The sequence below is a fragment of the Homo sapiens genome, chromosome 15 (genome assembly GCF_000001405.40).
Source record: "Homo sapiens chromosome 15, GRCh38.p14 Primary Assembly".
Classification (NCBI taxonomy): Eukaryota; Metazoa; Chordata; class Mammalia; order Primates; family Hominidae; genus Homo; species Homo sapiens.
The window spans coordinates 64443953-64463066 of NC_000015.10; the positions used below are offsets into that span (position 1 = coordinate 64443953).

At 43.4% G+C, this 19114-nt stretch overlaps 2 protein-coding genes and 1 long non-coding RNA gene across 9 annotated transcripts in view, besides 4 other annotated features; 2 read left to right on the forward strand and 1 right to left on the reverse strand.

Moving 5' to 3' along the window:
* Positions 1–11351, forward strand: part of TRIP4 (thyroid hormone receptor interactor 4) — a 67468-nt gene extending 56117 nt beyond the window's left edge. For all 3 annotated transcript variants that reach the window (NR_135855.2, NM_001321924.2, NM_016213.5), the window contains 2 exons: positions 1054–1156; positions 11045–11351. Coding sequence is in view for 2 of the 3 variants with exons in the window: in NM_001321924.2 (NP_001308853.1) it covers positions 1054–1156; positions 11045–11112 (171 nt within the window). In the remaining variant the exon portion in view is untranslated. The remainder of the gene's footprint in view (positions 1–1053; positions 1157–11044) is intronic.
* Positions 292–1491: an enhancer, noted in NCBI's record as "MED14-independent group 3 enhancer chr15:64736443-64737642 (GRCh37/hg19 assembly coordinates)". NCBI's record gives its function as "activates an origin of replication core promoter dependent on BRD2, BRD4, P300/CBP and CDK7 cofactors, and independent of MED14, by STARR-seq in HCT116 cells {active_cell/tissue: HCT116}" and the evidence as "EXISTENCE:reporter gene assay evidence [ECO:0000049][PMID:35650434]".
* Positions 795–16635, reverse strand: LOC105370861 (uncharacterized). The gene is made up of 3 exons (XR_932367.3): positions 16547–16635; positions 6880–6925; positions 795–934 (listed from the first exon to the last, which is right to left on the reverse strand). It is a non-coding gene; the product is annotated as an uncharacterized LOC105370861 (long non-coding RNA).
* ZNF609 (zinc finger protein 609) overlaps positions 15626–19114 on the forward strand; it is a 226491-nt gene continuing 223002 nt past the window's right edge. Inside the window, exon 1 of one of the 5 annotated variants that reach the window (XM_047432263.1) lies at positions 15626–15674. The gene's annotated coding sequence lies outside the window, so the exon portion shown is untranslated. Of the gene's footprint in view, positions 15675–16274; positions 16479–16625; positions 16887–17071; positions 17216–19114 lie in introns of those variants that run through there. The other 4 variants (XM_047432265.1, XM_017022021.2, NM_015042.2 and 1 more) reach the window with 4 other exon arrangements.
* Positions 16148–16217: an enhancer, noted in NCBI's record as "active region_9568". NCBI's record gives its function as "activates an Ori minimal core promoter by ATAC-STARR-seq in GM12878 lymphoblastoid cells {active_cell/tissue: GM12878}" and the evidence as "EXISTENCE:reporter gene assay evidence [ECO:0000049][PMID:35858748]".
* Positions 16678–16797: a silencer, noted in NCBI's record as "silent region_6534". NCBI's record gives its function as "represses an Ori minimal core promoter by ATAC-STARR-seq in GM12878 lymphoblastoid cells {active_cell/tissue: GM12878}" and the evidence as "EXISTENCE:reporter gene assay evidence [ECO:0000049][PMID:35858748]".
* Positions 16858–16957: a silencer, noted in NCBI's record as "silent region_6535". NCBI's record gives its function as "represses an Ori minimal core promoter by ATAC-STARR-seq in GM12878 lymphoblastoid cells {active_cell/tissue: GM12878}" and the evidence as "EXISTENCE:reporter gene assay evidence [ECO:0000049][PMID:35858748]".

Genomic DNA, 19114 nt, shown 5'->3' on the forward strand with positions numbered 1-19114 from the left:
CTGTTTTCTCCACAGCATCACTTATCATGTAGGACAAGAGTGGTCAATAAAGAAGTTTAACTATTCATGCTTCTAGTTACAGAGAAATTTGAATTTCCTTACTTTTTAAAATGAAACTTTTAGTGGCTTAGACTTTAGAAGGCTTATCTTAGCAGTCAAATAAGGGTGGAAAATACAGGTAATTTCATACTTTTTACGGTAGTTACTAGGAGAAAGTCTTCTCTGGTAATGAAGTCTGACCCAGAAGCCTATGAGTCATATTTGTTGAATGTGCTAAACATAAGACATAGTAAGATAGGAAATAATGAAATTCCAGCTCAGCCATTGCTAACCCCCAATTGTTCTTAAATTGTGATTGTGTAGCCAGCATAGTCTTACTCTAGGTTCTGTGTCTGTTTTTACAAAAAAAGTAAAAGTCCTAACTATTCACACAGATTTGTTTTTATGATAAGAGATCCAAAGGAGGTTTCTAAATAATTTTCAGAATTGCTCTAACCAGTTACCTTTTCACCCGAAGTAGATCTGGAAAGCATCCAGCAAAACAGCTTTTGCATGTTCATACCTTTCAGAATGAATCATCTTCCTTCCCTTTAGCTAGAGAAGGGCTATGTGTACTGTTTCTGGCAGAATTTCCACAGATGTTTTATTTTTCTTAAGTCTTCCAGTGCTTCACTTGAGTTGAACCTAGGGGGTACCTGATGTTCCCCAAGGAGATCTCTGAATCTCCTGACTCTTGGTTGTTTGTGATAAAAGAGCATTCCGTTCTGATTCTTCTGGGAGGATTTCAGGTATCCTTTTTTTTTTTTTTTTTTTTAATGAAGTTGTTCCCACTATAGGAAATCAGAGATGGCAGGCAATAGACTGTATAATGCTGTACTAAGGATTGTAGAAAGGTGAAGGTTTGTTCTTGCTTGTTGAGCATAATCCTCTTTACCTGTGAAATGGAAAGTAGTATCATCAGAATGTTGAGGTGAAATCTGGGACATCTTCTGTTCTCCTTAAATTCAAAGCTTGTCCCAACTATCCTGAACTTTTTATTTTTATATTTCACAGTTTCCAGACATCAGTCAAGAGTCTGATTCTCCATTTGTTTTCATCTGCAAAAATCCTCAGGAAATGGTTGTGAAGTTTCCTATTAAAGGAAATCCAAAAATCTGTAAGTCATGATTTTTTTTCTTTAAGACTAGTCAAGTGCAGTAGTAAGGAATGGGGAAAAAAGTAGAACAAGGAGTTCAATCTATAACTGACTGTGAACAATCAGTTGAGGTAACCCACTACCTTTGGATCAGCCTGTAAGTCATAATCTTTGATGGTCTAATTTTCTTTTCTTTTCTTTTCTTTTTTTTTGTCTTGCATCTTACTTGTCTAGATTTTTATAAAATCTTCCCTTTTGGCCGGGCACGGTGGCTCATGCCTGTAATCCCAGCACTTTGGGAGGCTGAGGCAGGCGGATCACAAGGTCAAGAGATCGAGACCATCCCGGCCAACATGGTGAAACCCCCCCGTCTCTACTAAGATTACCAAAAAAAAAAAAAAAAAATTAGCTGGGTGTGGTGGCGTGCGCCTGTAGCACCTGTAGTGCCTGTAGCGCCTGTAGTCTCAGCTGCTTGGAAGGCTGAGGCAGGAGAATCGCTTGAACCTGGGAGGCGGAGGTTACAGTGAGCTGAGATTGTGCCATTACACTCCAGCCTGGTAACAGAGCGACACTCAGTCTCAAAAAAAAAAAAAAAAAAAAAAAATTTATTGTGTTCTGTGTGTCCCTAGTGTTGGAGGCTTAATATAATTATACTTATCAATAACTTTATGTTAGGTTAACTACAGTAAAGCCTTTCCAAAGTATACCTTGATCCACAATTACCGGCATAGTAAGTCGCTCTAAACTTCAATTTCAGATCCTATTACATTAAAATGCTATTTGTCAGCCAAAAGAGTGTTTTGCCCCACTGTACTGCTCATTAAAGGAAGTAGTAAGGCAGTGCAGTGGCAACATTGTCATTTATCCATTTATTCATTGTTCAGTATTCAACTCAAGAATAAGGGCTGGGCATGGTGGCTCATGCCTATAATCCCAGCACTTTGGGAGGCTGAGACGGGTGGATCATCTGAGGTCAGGAGTTCGAGACCAGCCTGGCCAACATGGTAAAACCCCGTCTCTACTGAAAATACAAAAAATTAGCAGGGCATGGTGGTGGGCACCTGTAATCCCAGCTACTCGGGAGGCTGAGGCAGAAGTATCGCTTGAACTCGGGAGGCAGAGGTTGCAGTGAGCCGAGATCACGCCACTGCACTCCAGCCTAGGCAACAAGAGCGAAACTCCATCTCAAAAAAAAGACTTAACATTTTAAGTATTTATTATTGAACATCTATTTTAGAGACACCACTTCCCACATTTCTCTTCATTATTGGTTCCCAGAGTACAGCCTTGGCTCTCTTGCTTTTCATTCCTTTTTAACATTTTTTTTTTTTTTTTGAGACAGAGTCTCACTCTGTCTCCGAGGCTGGAGTGCAGTGGCCCAATCTCGGCTCACTACAACCTCCACCTCCTGGGTTCAAGCGATTCTCCTGCCTCACCCTCCCGAGTAGCTGGGACTACAGGCATCTGCCACCACTCCTGGCTAATTTTTGTATTTTAGTAGAGATGGGGTTTCACCATATTGGCCAGGCTGGTCTCGAACTCCTGACCTTGTGATCCGCCTGCCTTGGCCTCCCAAAGTGCTGGGATTACAGGCGTGAGCCACTGTACCTGGCCTCATTTTAAAAATTTTTATTAGTTAATTGATTGAGACAGGGTCTAGCTGGGACCCATCTTTTCTTCCTCTGTCCTAGAGCAGCCTCTTGTATTTCAAAGCAGTCTCAAAACGCATATAGTGGGCCGGGCGTGGTGGCTCACGCCTGTAATCCCAACACTTTGGGAGGCCGAGGCAAGTGGATCACAAGGTCAGGAGATCGAGACTACCCTGGCTAACACAGTGAAACCCCATCTCTACTAAAAATACAAAAAATTAGCCAGGCATGGTAGCGGGCACCTGTAGTCCCAGCTACTCGGGAGGCTGAGGCAGGAGAATGGCGTGAACCTGGGAGGCGGAGCTTACAGTGAGTCGAGATTGCACCACTGCACTCCAGCCTGGGCAACAGAGCGAGACTCCGTCTCAAAACAAAACAAAACAAAAACAAAAACAAACAAAAAAAACACACATATAGTAGTGGTGTCCTCCCTGCCTAACATCCTTGGAAAAGCAACATCAGCAACTCTCCCATTTGCTCATGTCAGTTACCATTTTGTGCCTCTTTGTCATTGCTTTCCCATTGTGTGAATTGCATGATTCTAGGGCATGCATTGTCCTCACTGGTGCGAAACTCTCCCTCATCCAATACCTTGGGGACCAACTAGCCATTTTATAAATCTATGCCCTAGAGAAGTACTTCTCAAACTATAATGTAACTAAAAATCACCTAGCAAGCTGTTAAAACACAGGTTCCTCAATCCTGCTCTCAGGTGATACTGATGCTGTTGGCCAGCTGGCTGTACTTTAAGTAACACTGCTTTCAATCACAAAATGAAATGCTTAGAGTAGGAATTTATATTAATGTATATTTACTGCAAAATTCAGGCAACATCTTGATTGATAAGATCCTAAGATTCCTACACATTCGAAGATCTGAACCAAGTTGCCCTTAACTGACACAAATTATTTACTTCAGACGGTACTCCAGTTGGTGGCCCAGTAGCCCTGGAAATCCTTTCTTTTCTCCACTATTAAGGATTTATTTATTTTTGAGATAGGGCCTTGGCCTGTCACCCAGCCTGGAGTGCAGTTGTGCAATTATGGCTCATTGCAGCCTCCACCTCCTGGGATAAAGTAATCCTCCCACCTCAGCCCCCAAAGTAGCTGGGACTACAGGTATGTGCCACCACGCCCAGATAATTTTTAAATTTTTGGTAGAGATGAGGTCTCACTATGTTGCCCAGTTTGGTCTCAAGTGGATCCTCCTGCCTTGGCCTCCTAAAGCGTTAGGATTACAGGTGTGAGCCACCACACCTGGCCCTGTTTAGGATTTAGATCTCCTTTTACCCTCCCTCTGTTTTGGTTCTAGCAGTCTACCCCTTCCTCCTCCATTTCATTCTCACCTTCCTCTAGGTACTGGTGGCAACACTGGTGGTAGGAGGAAACGGTGGTAAATCCTCTCTCTCAAACCCACTGTTAATTGATCTTTAGTCCTACTTCCCTTTTCGTAGCTTCTTCCCCTGGCTTGGTTTTCATCTGCTGCCTAAAGTCCTGTGAGAAAATGTTCTGTGTAGAGTTTAGCTATTTCTCTGAAATGTTTTACTTTAGTACTTTCTCTACACCTTCAGGACCTATAGGGCCTTCATTTTTCTCCATAAGGTTTCATGATGGTGAGGGGAGTGACATTCTTAGGAGAAACCTTTAATAACTTCCTATCTTTTTCGTATTGTTTCTGTTAGTTAATGGTAGACTAGACAAGGTTAAAAATTGCACAGAAACAATAGGTAGTGAAAATTTTATTTTGAGATGGGGTCTCACTCTGTTATCCAGGTTGGAGTGCAGTGGCACAATCTCAATTCACTGCAACTTCCATCTCCCAGGCTCAAGTGATCCTCCCACCTCAGCCTCCTAAGTAGCTGGGACCACAGGCACGCGCCTCCATGCTTGGCTAATTTTTTGTATTTTTGCTAGAAACGGGGTCTTGCCATGTTGCCCAGGCTGGTCTTGAACTCCTGAGCTCAGGTGATCCATCCACCTTGGCCTCTCTAAAAACCTTCTACTCTGCCAGAACTCTCTTGCCTTAGGTCCTAGGGGATAACCTCCAGTAGTTTAAGCTGGAAAAGTCTTTAATCCCAGTTACATTGGGGAAAATACATACCTGCCTCTTAATTTGAAATGGTTATCACACTTTCCCCTAGATATATTATTACATGAAGTGATTAAGTTTAATAGCAATAATATTAATACTTGGTCAGGCACAGTGGCTCATGTCTATAATCCCAGCACTTTAGGAATCTGAGGCAGGAGGATCACTTGAAGCCAGGAGTTTGAGACCAGCCTGAGTAACATAGCGAGACCCTGTCTCTACAAAAAAATAAAAAAAATTATTCCAGTGTGGTGGCGTGTGCCTATAGTGCCAGCTACTTGGGAGGCTGAGGCAGAAATATTGCTTGAGCCCAGGAGTTCAAGGCTGCAATGGGCTATGATTGCAATACTGCACTCCAGCCTGGGTGACACAGCAAGACCCTGTCTCTAAAAAAAAAAAATTAATTAATAGTCTGCTTTACTTATAACACTGTGGCTTAAATGTTTGTTTTTTTTGTTTGTTTTTGTTTTTTTTTTTTGTGGGATGTCTTAGGAACCTAGCCACCCTTTACAGATTAGTTCTATGATAAATATATTCGAAATTCCAAACTTTTATTTTTGAGACAGGGGTCTCACTGTGTTGCCTAGACTGGCCTTGAACTCTGGGCTCAAGAGATCTTCCTGCCTGAGCCTCCCAAGTAGCTGGAACTACTATGTAGATATACACTACTATGATGCCCGGCTTCAGGTTCCAAACTTCAGACTTGCAAATAAACTTTCAGAATATGACCCATTTATGTGTTGTATCATATATATATATATAAAAAATATATGGATGTATAAATGCCTTAAATTAAAGGTGTATACTTTGATTTGTTTGTTTTTGGAAGTGTAAATTTGAGTTTGCTTGACCTTAAGGTAATTGTGTCTCCTCAAATTGAGATAATTCAGAAAAGAGCAATATACAATAGGGTATCACCTGGCTCTGTGTCTGCTTTATATAGGTTGAATACTCAGATAAAGGAAATTTTTTAAATTTAGCAACATGCTCTATAAACTCATGCACCTTATATCTTTTGCAAACCATGTGAAAATTCCTATGAGAGTTATATCAATTAATGACAAATATTTTTTCCCCTTTTAACTTCTTGCCCATCTGCTGCACATGCATTTGACTTTCTTTTAGGCACTATGATTGAGGATGTGGTTTAACACTGAAACGATTAGGTACTAAATGTAAAAATATTGGGGAAATACAGAAACTAAGTGTTACACCCTACCATGAAGAGGATGTATTGTATGTCACTATGGTTCACTATCCAGATCCTGATCTTAGAAGCCCAGGGTGGGCTGGGCGCAGTGGCTCACGCCTGTAATCCCAGCACTTTGGGAGGCCGAGGCGGATCACAAGGTCAGGAGATGGAGACCATCCTCGCTAACACGGTGAAACCCCGTCTCTACTAAAAATACAAAACATTAGCCAGACGTGGTGGCAGGTGCCTGTAGTCCCAGCTACTCGGGAGGCTGAGGCAGGAGAATGGCGTGAACCCGGGAGGCGGAGCTTGCAGTGAGTCGAGATGGCGCCACTGCACTCCAGCCTGGGCGAGAGTGTGAGACTCCGTCTCAAAAGAAAAAAAAAAAAAAAAAAAAAGAAAGAAAGGAAAAAAAAGAAAAAAGAAGCCCAGGGTGAACTAGAACTCAGAGCTTTGAGTTCCTGCAATCTAAGGACAGTCATGATGACTGCTGCTTTCCACAAGAAGCCCCGGTCCCTTACCATCATTGCCCACAGCTGGCCCAAGAGTTGCCTCTATTGGCAATCACTCTGTTAGACGTTAAGGATACAAAATGTCCATGATTGTAAGGAGTTCACAGATTGTTGGCAAATGTCTGATTTTTTTTAGGCAGCCTAGAGGATGAAAGAACGTCTGAATTCCTGGGAATATCCTGGAAATCCTTGTTCCTCTTGTATCTTGTTTCTCCTATTAGCTTTCCATTTTAGACATCATCATTGAAGCCAGAGATTAGTCTGCCTACAATTGAGTGTTTTATTCTGATGGGTTGATCTTACCTGAGCTGGTCTCACTTGAGGGCTTTCATAATCATACTGGAGTTTCCTGAAACGTAAAATAGGAATGTTCTCATTCAGTAAAGCTTTAAGAATGTGAAGAAAATGATATGTCTTTTTTTCTTATGAAGAATCTGAAATAAATAATAATTAAAAGACTTGCCTGGGGTTATATGGTAAATGAAAGGTGAAATTGAAACCATAACTAAGAAACCTAACTCCCAAGCCTCAGCGTAAATAATATAACCACCCTTACTTCTTCAGGAGACTTTGAATTTATGAAGCCCCCCACTTTTTTTTTTGAGATGGGGTCTTGCTCTGTTGCCCAGGCTGGCATGCACTGGTGAGATCTCAGCTCACTGCAACCTCTGCCTCCTGGGTTCAAGCAATTCTCCTGCCTCAGCCTCCCGAGTAGCTGGGATTACAGGCGAGCACCATCACACCCAACTAATTTTTGTATTTTTAGTAGAGACGGGGTTTCGCCATGTTGGTCAGGCTGGTCTTGAACTCCTGACCTCAAGTGATTTGCTTGCCTTGGCCTCCGAAAGTGCTGGGATTACAGGCATGAGCCACACCTGGCCTGAAACACTTTAATATATATTATTTCAGTTATAGGCTGAGCATCCCAAATCTGATCTTTTTTTTTTTTTTTTTTTTTTTGGGGAGTGGGTCTCACTCTGTCACCCAGGCTGAAGTGTAGTGGTGTGAACTCGGCTCACTGCAACCTCTGCCTCCCTGGCTCAAGCAATTCTCCCACCTCAGCCTCCCAAGTAGCTGGGACTATAGGCCTGCACCACCATACCCGGCTAATTTTTTATTGCTTTTATTTTTATTAATTTTTTTTTTTTGAGTTTTACTCTTGTTGCCCAGGCTGGAGTGCAATGGTGCGATCTTGGCTCACTGGAACCTCCAACTCCTGGGTTCAAGTGATTCTCCTGCCTCAGCCTCTTGAGTAGCTGGGATTACAGACACCCTCCACCACGCCCAACTAATTTTTGTATTTTTAGTAGAGACGGGTTTCACCATTTTGACCAGGCTGGTCTTGAACTTCTGACCTTAGGTGATCTGCCTGTCTCGGCCTCCCAAAGTGCAGGGATTACAGGAGTGAGCCACTGTGCCCGGCCCAAAAAAAAAAAAAAATTTTTTTTTTAGACAGGTCTCACTCTGTTGCCCATGCTGGAGTGCAATGGCATGAGATCTTGGCTCACTGCAACCTCCACCTCCTGGGCTCATGCCATCCTCCTGTCTCAGCCTCCTGAGTAGCTGGGACTCCAGGCTTGCACCACCATACCCAGCAAATTTTTCTGGGGGTTGAGGGGGGTTTGGTTTTTTTGTTAGAGACAGTATTTCACCATGTTGGCCAGACTGGTCTGGAACTTCTGGGCTCAAGCGATCTGCCTGCCTTGGCCTCCCAAAGTACTGGGATTGCAGGCATGAGCCACCATGCCCTGCCACAAATCTGAAAATCTGAAATGCAAAATCTAAACCTTTTTGAGCTTCAACATGATGCTCAAAGGATATGCCTCATTGGAGCATTTGGGATTTTGGATTTCTGGATTTGGGATACTTAACCAGTAAATATATATAATGCAAATATTCCAAAATCCAAAAAAATCTGAAATTTAAAACACTTCTGGTCCCAAGCATTTTAGATAAGGAATACTGAACCTGTAGTTATTTGATTAAAGGACTCAGTGTATGTGTAATACACGTAGCTCAGTGACTGGTCTATAGAATGCACTTCATGTTAGCTATAATCTTCTTAATAATTCTGTGTGTTAGTAAGGGCTTTTTCCTCCTTTCATTTTACAGGTTTATGGAAGTTGTTTTACTCAAATCTTTCTGGCACAAGGTTTCCTGTTCTTTTCACTGTATCAGATTGCCTCAGGAACAAATTATTCCAATTTACATTTCATTTCTAGGGCACAATATCATAGAGTTGGAAGGAACCTTCAGTATTGTATAGTCCAGTTTCCTCTTAGAGTTGATAAAAATTGAGGACAAGAGTGACTAGGTAACATACTCAAGGTTATACAGCTAGGAAGTCTTAGGATTAAAACTGAGTTTTTCAGCCAGGTGTGGTGGCTCACGCCTGTAATCCCAGCACTTTGGGAGGCTGAGGTGGGGTGGGGGATTGCTTGAGGTCAGGAGTTCAAGACCAACTTGGCCAACGTGGTGAAACCCTATCTCTACCAAAAAATAAAAAAATTAGCTGGGCGTGATGGCACACACCTGTAGTCCCAGCTACAGGGGAGGCTAAGGCAGAATTGCTTGAACCTGGGTGGTGGGGGTTGCAGTGAGCCGAGATTATGCCATTGCACTCCAGCCTGGGCGACAGAGACTCTGTCTCAATAAATAAAGTCTTTCAACTTATGCAATACAGACGACTGGATGTCTGGAGTCCTAGATGGAATTCTAAATTCTGTCCCAGCTTGTCCTAAAAAGCTGAATGGGACTCACCTCTGGGTACCACCACCTTTACAATCTGTACTCTTACATTTGTCTGATATCTGCTATTTGTGGTTACTTAGTACTGTCTATAATATAAAGGTTTTGAAATTTGTAGTGTCTACCTTTGTTTAATTCATTTGGTGAGAGCATTTATTGAGCGTCTACCATTTGGCAGTCACTATGGTAGTGTTAGGGATACAAAGGCTGACTTGCCTTGTAACAGGGCTCTTTGCCAGATGGCTGGCACATGTTCAGGTTTTCAGCCAGGCAGCATAAGGGATAAAAGAACTCCTAAATCCCTGGGAATGCCCTATGCTCTAAAGCCCTAATTAAAATCAACAGCATTGTGATTATTGTTAAATGATATTCAGGGTATCACTTAGTGATGGTTTCTGAGGAAGCCCAGAAAAGGACATAATGTTCTTCTAGAAGCAGGTGTAGCCTAAAAGAAAAGAGAGAGAGAGATAAACAGACAAAGAGAGATATACAGACAGACTAATGTTGGGCAAGAGGAGATTTAAGTAAACAGAGAAACTTGTTAGGCTGAGGCTAATTTTTCTCACAGTCTTACTGTGCCATGGTCAGTACATGTATTCTTAACTTAATTGGACAAGTGAAAATACTGAAATCCAGAGAAATTGAATGACTCGCCTAGGTCACACAGCTAGTTAATACCAGAGAAGGGTGGACTAGAACCTGGGTCTTCTGATTTTTAGTCCAGTGCTCTGTTATGCCCAATTGCTGCAACAAATGAAAATGACAACATATTGAGAGGCAGTGATTATGGGCATGGGCCTGTGGTATACTCAGCTGCCTTTGAAGGGGAAGACTCCTTGTTTTTTTTTTTTGTTTTCTTTTTTTTTTTTAGTGCTGAGACTGAACTGAATTATGTTTCTATTTTCAGCATAAGCATCACTATTGACTTAGATGAGACTTTTTGTGGGAGAAAGCAAACTGCCAAACTGTTCTCAGGCCAGACAGACAGGAATTCTCTTAAGATTCTCCTAATGAGATGGATGGTTCCTAAGGCTGCTACCACTGAGCCAAACTCTATCCTGGTAGATCTGAGAAGAGGTCAGAGACCACATCAGTAATATACCTTTCATTAGGGTCACCTGGGATGGGAAGGTTGCTTGTTTTCTAAGTTTAACACTTAGAGAGTCATATAGCCTATGACCTTTAACCTTCTTAGCTGGTGATAGGGGCCCTTTGTCAGTAAAGCATTCATGTGGATTCTATTCCACTGTTGCAGGTCACTCCCCCTATTAAGTCTGAGGCAGCAAAGGGGTGTTGAACTGCTTTTCTCACTGTGAAGGTTCATGCATTATGCTCAGCCAGTTAACAGGTCACAGGAATGGATTTCCCACTGTGAAATGCCTGCCTTTATTGCATGTGTATATTCTTAAAAATTTGCCGTAGCATCAAACCCCTTAAAAATGTGATTATTTCTTTTCTAGTAGCTACAAAATTAGAAATAATTAACTTCTTAGATTCTTAGGACAAATACTCATTGTATGCATTTGTGTATCCTTGTACAGTGTTCCCATTGCTTCCTTATTCTTACAGAATGAAACTCTGAAGTTTGGAAGTGTCTGAGTCCTGAAGTAAGATAATTGAATGTGACAGGAACACAGTAACCAGAAGACCTGGGAGGCTGCAAAAGATTTGCATTGCAAATACAAAAATAAATAATGAGACTTATTTTTCTCCCTTACAGGGAAATTGGATTCCAAGATCCATCAAGGAGCAAAGAAGGGGTTAATGAAGCAGAATAAAGCTGTCTGACCCAGGAGAAAAGGAACTATACAGCATAGTGGAGTTTTGTGTACTAAAATTGCTATCTACTGGTCCTTTGGAATTGAAGTAGTAGAAACCTAAAGGCTTGGCGTCAGGCTTGAATATCTCAGAACTTAAACTCTTACCAAAATCTGTATATTTTTCTTAAGGAGTGGGATTCCTACTTTATGTAATGGGGTCGAAATCTTTGAACACATTATTTATAAAAACCTGTTTAAAAATTCTAAGTCTTTTGACATTTTTCTTAGAATAGTATCAAAAGAGATTGGACCAAGTTGGAAATTCTTTTCCTTTCTGAGACTTGTATTTGTAGTTAGAAAGTTTTTAACCTAGGTTAATGATTTTTTTTTGAGGGTTCCTCTCAGATTTTAAAGTTTCTTATCAAAGGGATAATCTGATAGAGTAATAGGATGTTTGAGGAATCCTGTGCTTAATACAAACCTGTGATGGGACAAAAAGGTTTGTAACAAGTTTTCTGCTCCAATCCAATGTCTCTTAAACAGTCTGAATGAAATGTGAAAAGCCGAGTAACCCTCACTGGCAAATTTTTTTTTTGGAAGGAATAACCTGAAGAAGTGCTTCCACTTCTTGGGTTTGAGAAGCCAGGATATGGATGGTTCAGACTGGGAGGAGATGGAGCCACCTGCTAAAGCACCATGAAGCTGCCCTATTTATTTTGTTGGTATTGCAAAAGCATCACTTGGATGGGGCAATTAGAAACAAACTAAAAAATAAAATCGCCTTAGTAAATGCATCCAAATACCCACCAAATGCTGAACTCAAACCTTTTAAACCATTCACATCCCAGAAAGCTATGCGCTTTGGAAAAAGAAGAGGTTGGTTTGAAATGAGATTTTTGTCAGTCTGGCCGTCCTTAGTGAAACACTGAGGCTGTTCTGAAGAGCTGTCAGAATCTCAGTTGCTGGCATCCTGAGGAAATTCATGGTCTTAAATGTGTATGTTCTGCTTTTTATAAAACAACACCACCACACTGGGGAAGTTGGACTCCCTCCAGCAGTTGTGTGCATTTCTTAAAAAAGAGAGAGCAAGGGAGAGAAAAAAAATGTGCCCTGTGTTATGAAAAAGATTAATTTCCCCTTTCTTTAATCCTTCATATTCAGCGTTTATTTGCATTGAAATGCCTCCACTCATTATGCATTGATGTTCACTCAACTGTGAACCCTGCTTGTTGCATAGCTCTAGGCATTGGTTTTGCAGGGCCTGATCACTCTGGATTCCCAGGGAAAACCCACCCGATTCTTGTTGCGGTGATGCAAACATGTAGTATTCTCTTTTTCTGTTCAACCTCTGGAGAAAGGGGAAAGGACTGCTAATGTCCACTTCTTTGGCAGGGGGCATGTCGGGGGAGTCTCTTTCTGGCTTCCTGCAGACCCTACTATTAATGAAGCCATACTGGGTTCACTATGCAGCTAATAGTTTACTAAGCAGTAGCACCTTGAATTCTATGCTGGAGTTGTCTGGCTCTCTTAATACCAAAATAAAACTAGAAGACAGGAGGTGAAGAGCCTAGGGAGGGAGGAAAAAAGTTTATTTGAACAACAGCCTGAGCATAGAGGTGTCTGGATTGATTTTTTTCTCCTGGATAGACTGTGTGCATGCCGAAAGAAAAACATCAGGAGCTGTGACAGATCAGGTTATGCAACCATTTTGTGTGCTGAGATAAGACAGTTTACAAGAACTTCACAAGTTTACAAGAACCCACCTCAGCATCCAAAATATGCAACTGGAGCCTCATTAGTAAATGGCAGAATAACATGGAAACTTCTCCTTTTCATGGTTAGACTGTGAAAGTCTGTCTTTAGTTCATATGGTGGTGGTGGTATAAGGTCTCTCTTTTATTTGTGGAGACACCAGGGAGGAAGTGTGGGAGAAACTTGGGGGTAGATGGCCTTCAGTTGCTCAGTGATGAATAGCACAATTTAAAGCCTAGTGGAAATTCTTAGCAGCCTGAGTGCAAACTTGCCCAGGAATAGCCTTTTAGGACTTTACAACACTTTGCTCTGACTGTGTAACTCTGGGACAGTGTGGCCTAAAGGAAGTTTCACATTTCTGAGCTGGTTTTTTGTTGCAGTCTAAATATCTGTACCCACTTTTGAATAGTTGGGTTCAATTGCTGTCAATTTGTATAGTGCCTAAAGGTTTCAGCTTTTTTGTTTTTGTTTTTGTTTTTGTTTTTCCAGGCAGGACTCAGTCTCATTTATATAAAGTCAGAGTAGGGGGATATATGAAACTGGAGACTTTCTCTGACGGGGTTTAGGAAGCCTTGGCTTTATTGCTTCTCGGCCTTTTGGCTAAGATCAAATGTAGGAAGCCTTGGCTTTGCAGTTAGATGTTTGGAATAGAGTAAGGGTTTTTGTTTGTTTCTTGCTATAGCTAATCTGGAAAAAGAAAACTAGGTATCCCCTCTTTTAAGTCAGAAGTTTACATAAATTCATTTTTTCCTAGGAAGTAAGTGTGAAAAATTTAGACTTCAAAGCCCATTTATGTGGATTTCATTTAATTTAGTAAATTTTAAAAATGCACCTAGCCAAGATCAAGACAGCATGGGAGTTATTCTCAAAAAGTCAGCTCAAAAAGACGAGTAAACAGCAAGCATCTATTAAACTAAAGAAATCAGTGAACTTCAGTTTGTTAGGCCTGGGGAGGGACAGAAAATCCAATGATGAAGGAATTTTTTTTCCTAGAGATTCAAGTAGCCAAGCATACATCTGCTGCTCTGAGCTTCTGTGAATGTGTTCGGAGGGAGGTGATCCATACCACAGGCACCAGCAGCAACAAGGCATCCAGCATGTGGAGGGCTTTTCTACTTCTCTCATGCAGAGAAGAAAGAATACAGCCTCAGTGCCATCCTCTGACACAAATGAACTTGTGTAAATGTCCATTTATGTGTATGTACATAATGTGGCTTAATTCATAGGGTGACAACTGATAACCTGATCCATTTTCAGACTTCATTTGTGACAATGGAGAGTCCAGAGAGACAACCTAGTAAGTGTACCCTAGCTTGAGGTCAGAAAAATGGATGTGTATATAGTGAGTGGGACTGTGGAACAGTGGGGTGGTGGGGAGTTCCTGAGAATCCATAGAGGAATGTCACAGGAAGGGAGTGAGATAGTGGCATAAGGAGAAAAAAAAACATCAGTACAGAAGATTTAAGAGTCTAGAGCTGTACTGTCTATTATGGTAGCCACTAGCCACTTGTGGTTATGAAAATCTCAATTATATGAAATTAAGGATTCAGTTATTCAGTCACTGTTGACCATATTTCAAGTGCTCAAATAGCTACATGTGGCTAGCGACTTCTGCATTGGACAGCACAGATATAGAACATTTCCATCGCTGCAAAAAGTTCTGTTGGATAGTGCTTGTCTGGAGCAGGGGTTGGCAAACTTTCTGTAAAGGGTCAGATAGCAAATATTTTAGGCTTTACACAGGCCATGCAGTCCTTGTTTCAACTGTTCAACTCTGCTGTTGTAGTAAAAATGCATCTATAGATGATAATGTAAATGAATGAGCTTGGCTAGAGCCAATAAAACTATTTTTTTGTTTGTATTTTAAGACAGTTTCATTCTTGTTGCCCAGGCTGGAGTGCAGTGGCAAGATTTCGGCTCATTGCAACCTCCGCCTCCCGGGTTCAAGCGATTCTCCTGCCTCAGCCTCTCAAGTAGCTGGGATTACAAGCATGTACCACCACGCCCGGCTACTTTTGTATTTTTACGGGGTTTCTCCATGTTGGTCAGCCTGGTCTCGAATTCCCGACCTCACGTGATCCGCCCGCCTCAGCCTCCCAAAGTGCTGAGATTACAGGCGTGAGCCACCGCACCTGGCCTGAAATTTGAATTTCATATCATTTTCACATCATGAAATAGTATTTTGATTATTTAACTGTTTAAAAATGTAAAAATCATTCTAGCTCATGGGACATGTTAAAACAGGTGGTGAGCCTGATTTGACCTGTGAGATGCAGTTTGCCAACCCTTGGTCTAGAGGAACAGTAAATCAAAACTTAAGGTTTGTTTACTATGTGGGACATCTGATCACTTGAAAATTTTTAGTGGTTCTTCGAGGCTTGAGAACTTTCTCTGGCTGAAACTTGGAGTTCACTGCAGGAATGTTTACCTTCCTTTGTTCCCTATTTTTGCAGTCTAGTTCTCTCCAATGGCAGAGTCATGCTCCTTCAGTGGGAGATGACTACTGGAATGTTTAATCCTTAATTAAATCATGCCTAAGTCTAAAACACTAAACCCTTCTCTGTCTCCACCTGCTAAGTAGCTGAATCCTCACTTGTAACTTTGTCTAGTATACATTGGAAGTTCGCTGTCACCTGGGATCAGTTCTGCCCCTGTACTGTCTAACAACATGACTATTGGTGGACCAAAGAGAGATTATTTTTCCTAGACCAGAAAGGTTTACTTTTATCTTTAGCTATCAACCCCTCCCCCCACCTTTTTATGACCTCACTTTATCTCCAAGTCACATGCTATCTTGAGTGGCACTGTTGAAGGATGCCCCAGGATAAGGGAAAAAAGGTAAGATAAATGCAAAGCAAAATAAAATGGTCAAGGACACAGGAAGGACATAATAGGGGCTAGGATGTGGGAGGCCTTGAGAATTAAGGTAAATTTGTTTGCTATGGAATGAGATGGAAGTCTTAGGAGGTCGTCATGAATAGATGTTTCACAAGTGAAAGCTGGGTGGGAGGGCTCACTTAAACATGGACTGAATGCCTACTGTGCACTAGATAGTATGCTGGGCAATCAGAGATGAATAGCAGATAAGGAAAAATAAAAGCTACAATCCTTAGAATGGTGGGTTGGAGAAGGACAGAATAAGGTTTTTAGATAATAAAAGGCAACAAGATTTAGTGATAGAGGATGGTGAGGGGAAAAGGGATATATAGAGGGATTAGAAATGGGTGCTTTGGGGAGAAAAGCAAGTGGTAATCCTAAAAGAGAAAGCTGGAGAACAAAGGATAAAAAATTAGGAGGTTGGTACTTTGCTGAACTAAGGGGTAAAATGGATGAAACCATCAGGAGCTGTGATTGCTCTTCTGTTCTTTGTGGATGCCCATGTTCAGATCCCCTACGGCCCTTTCCTCTCTGTGGTTGAAGGACAACTACAGAAGAGGTGTCTTCTGTGTTATAAGGTGCAATACTCCCCCCAGAGACCTCTCTATGAGGAAGTCTGATCCAGCGAGAGTTCTACTGCCCACGAGGGGACAGCGTTAGGTTCGAGCTCTCTAATCCAGGTTTCTTTGAGTTTATCTTGGTTCTAACCGGCACGCCGGGTTTTCCAGCATTCCCTGAGCTAAGACTCCCTAATCTGGGCTCCGGGTGAGCGCGCATTCCGAGACCCAGGATTTCGCTCCTTCATCCAGGTTCCGGGTTTCCCCTGCGCTCACCGGCTCCAGACTCCACACAAGCGCGGAATCCGGATCCGAGGGCCTGGCAGTCCAGTGTCCGCGTCTTCCGGGTGACTCTGGTTGTCCCGGATCGCGGCGGCGGCGGCGGTGGCGGCGGCTGAGGGACCCGCGGCCCCGGACACAGCGGCACCGGCCGGGCGGGGCGGAGAGGCGCGGGGAGGGGGCAGAGAGCCAGAGCCGGAGCCGGAGCCGGAGCCGGGGTGGGGTGGGGGGGAGGGGCCGCGGGAACGGATGGCGGCCTGGGCCCCGTAGCAGCGGCGGCTCTACGGCCCGGGGCCCCGGGCGGGCGGAGGTGGCGGCTCCCGGGACCGGCCGCGCGGTGAGTCCGGAGCTTTGTGTGGAGCCGGGACTGGGGGAGGAAAGAGGCGGCGGCACCGATGGGGCGCGGGGCTGAGGGGATCTGATGGGGGCCGGGGGCGGCGGCGCTGCCTGACGGAGGAAGTGGGGGTTGGGGGGGCTGGGGCGGAGCGAGGGGAAGGTGTGTAGGGGGGGTCGTTGCGTGGGTGGGGGAGGGGGCGTCGAGGGGCGCGGGGTGAAGTTCAAAGCGTGGCCACGGCCGGTTCAGGCTGAGGGTAGGGGTGCCCGGGAGGGGATTAGGGTCTGGCTAGGTTATGGGAGCAGGCCAGAGAGTTTCTGAGGCGAGTCTGGGTATGTTGAGGGCGCTCGGGGCGACTGGGGCCAGTCAGGGAGTTGGCGGGGGAGGGGGGGCGGGGGCGGTGGTGGTTGTTCAGAGCATAGGGTCGGAAGCAGGACGTGTGCGTGACCTAGGAGTGGGGAGCAAGGTGGCTGGGATCCTGCAGTAAGTAGGTTGTGGGTGTGTGCCCCTAACAGTCTTCAGGTCACATTTACTCCTGTCCTTTTCTTCAAGATGGAGGGATCCCTGGGCCTGGACCTCAACTGCTATCCTTGTACCCCCGGGAGGGTTTGTGACCCTATCCTGTTTGGAAAACCCATGCTGCCCTCTTTTCCCTTTATGTGTAATTACGGTTGGATCATCTCTGTGCTTTGCTCAGATTCTCCTTCCTCCCTCTGGGGTTGAGGAGGAGGAGACACATCTGACCAATTAATGTGTGTTTGTGAAACAGGCAGCAGCAAACAGTCATTTCAGCTTCGAGGAATTAGGCTCACACAGGGTGGAGAGATCAGAGCCCTTCAGGGGGAATATTTCTGAACAAATCACGGATGATTAAATTCTCTAAGAAACAGCTCCCTACCTAAATGAGAGTGAGAAAGATAGGGAAGAAAGCCTGTCTGTTTCCAGCCATGTGTCCAGAGCCTAAGGGGTTGAGGAGAGTCCCCAAGCCCCTACAGGCCTCCCTTTTCTGTATTAGGCTTTGCTCTGCAGCCTTGAGTTAATTTCACCCCTGCTGCTTTGTCTTGGGGGAGGGAGTGCTGGTTTAGGCTGTTGTGAGGAGATGACTGTTCTGCTGCCACACACAATAGTCGTGTCATTTTATCGGGAGCGCTACCCCAGGGCTGAGAACTGCTGCAGCAGAGATAAACCGGTCCCTCTCACCCGCCTATTGTGTACACAGTGAAGGTCATAGGTTCAAGTCTTGTCTGAGAGCTTTGGATATGCTCCATCTCCCAGGCTCCTCAGTGCCATTTTCTTCCTTTTCCAGACTGGGGCTTGCCATTGGAGGAGGCCAGAGAGAAAGGCTCTTCTTTTTGAGTGAGGAACAATGCAGAGCTCATTGGCACACATTTTTCAGAAGAATAAGGGATGCCAGCCATGTTGTGCCTGCCTCTTTGGCTAGCCTGTACTAAGTTGTGAAGGAATAGTGTCTGGTAGACTCAACTACGATGTTTGTTTCAGACCCTTAAGGAAGAAGACTTCAAGGGAAGGTTCTACTCTTAGTTGAATCATCATATTTAATTCTTTTATATGAATGGAACACTCATGCAGTGATTTTTGTTTGTTTCCGAATACCACTAAAAACCTGTGCAGTGTTAAGATGGGGAGTCAAGCCCAGGTGTGGTGGCTCATGCTTGTAATCTTGGCACTTTGGGAGAATGAAGCCAGAGGATGGCTGGAGCCCAGGAGTTTAAGACCAGCCTGGGCAACAAAGCAAGACCCTGTTTCTTTAAAAATAAAAAATAAAAAAGTCAAGAACCAAGTACCTTTTTAATGGTGGCTTCCTGGTCAATAATAATAGCACAACAAAAAAGCCACAGAATTTGCCTATCTGGGCAAGGGCTGTGGGAACAAACCTTTCAATATTTATTTTAACTCTAATGAAAGGACATGAGTTGCTCATTGTGCAAAAGTCTATATCTGCCTCTGTATTAAGAAATTTGCCAAAGAAATAAACATTTTTGAAAAAATGTATGGGTCTTAGGGATTATTAGTGAGAGAAGGATGAGAACAAACTAGAAGGAATCCTATTGTACATATCTGATAGAAGTGCTCAAATAATATTTATGTACTATTAGTTGTGTAAAAAATTATTTGGGACCAGGCATGGTGCTCACACCTGTAATCCCAGCACTTTGGGAGGCTGAGGCAGGAGGATCACTTGAGCCTAGGAGTTTGAGAGTGGCCTGGGC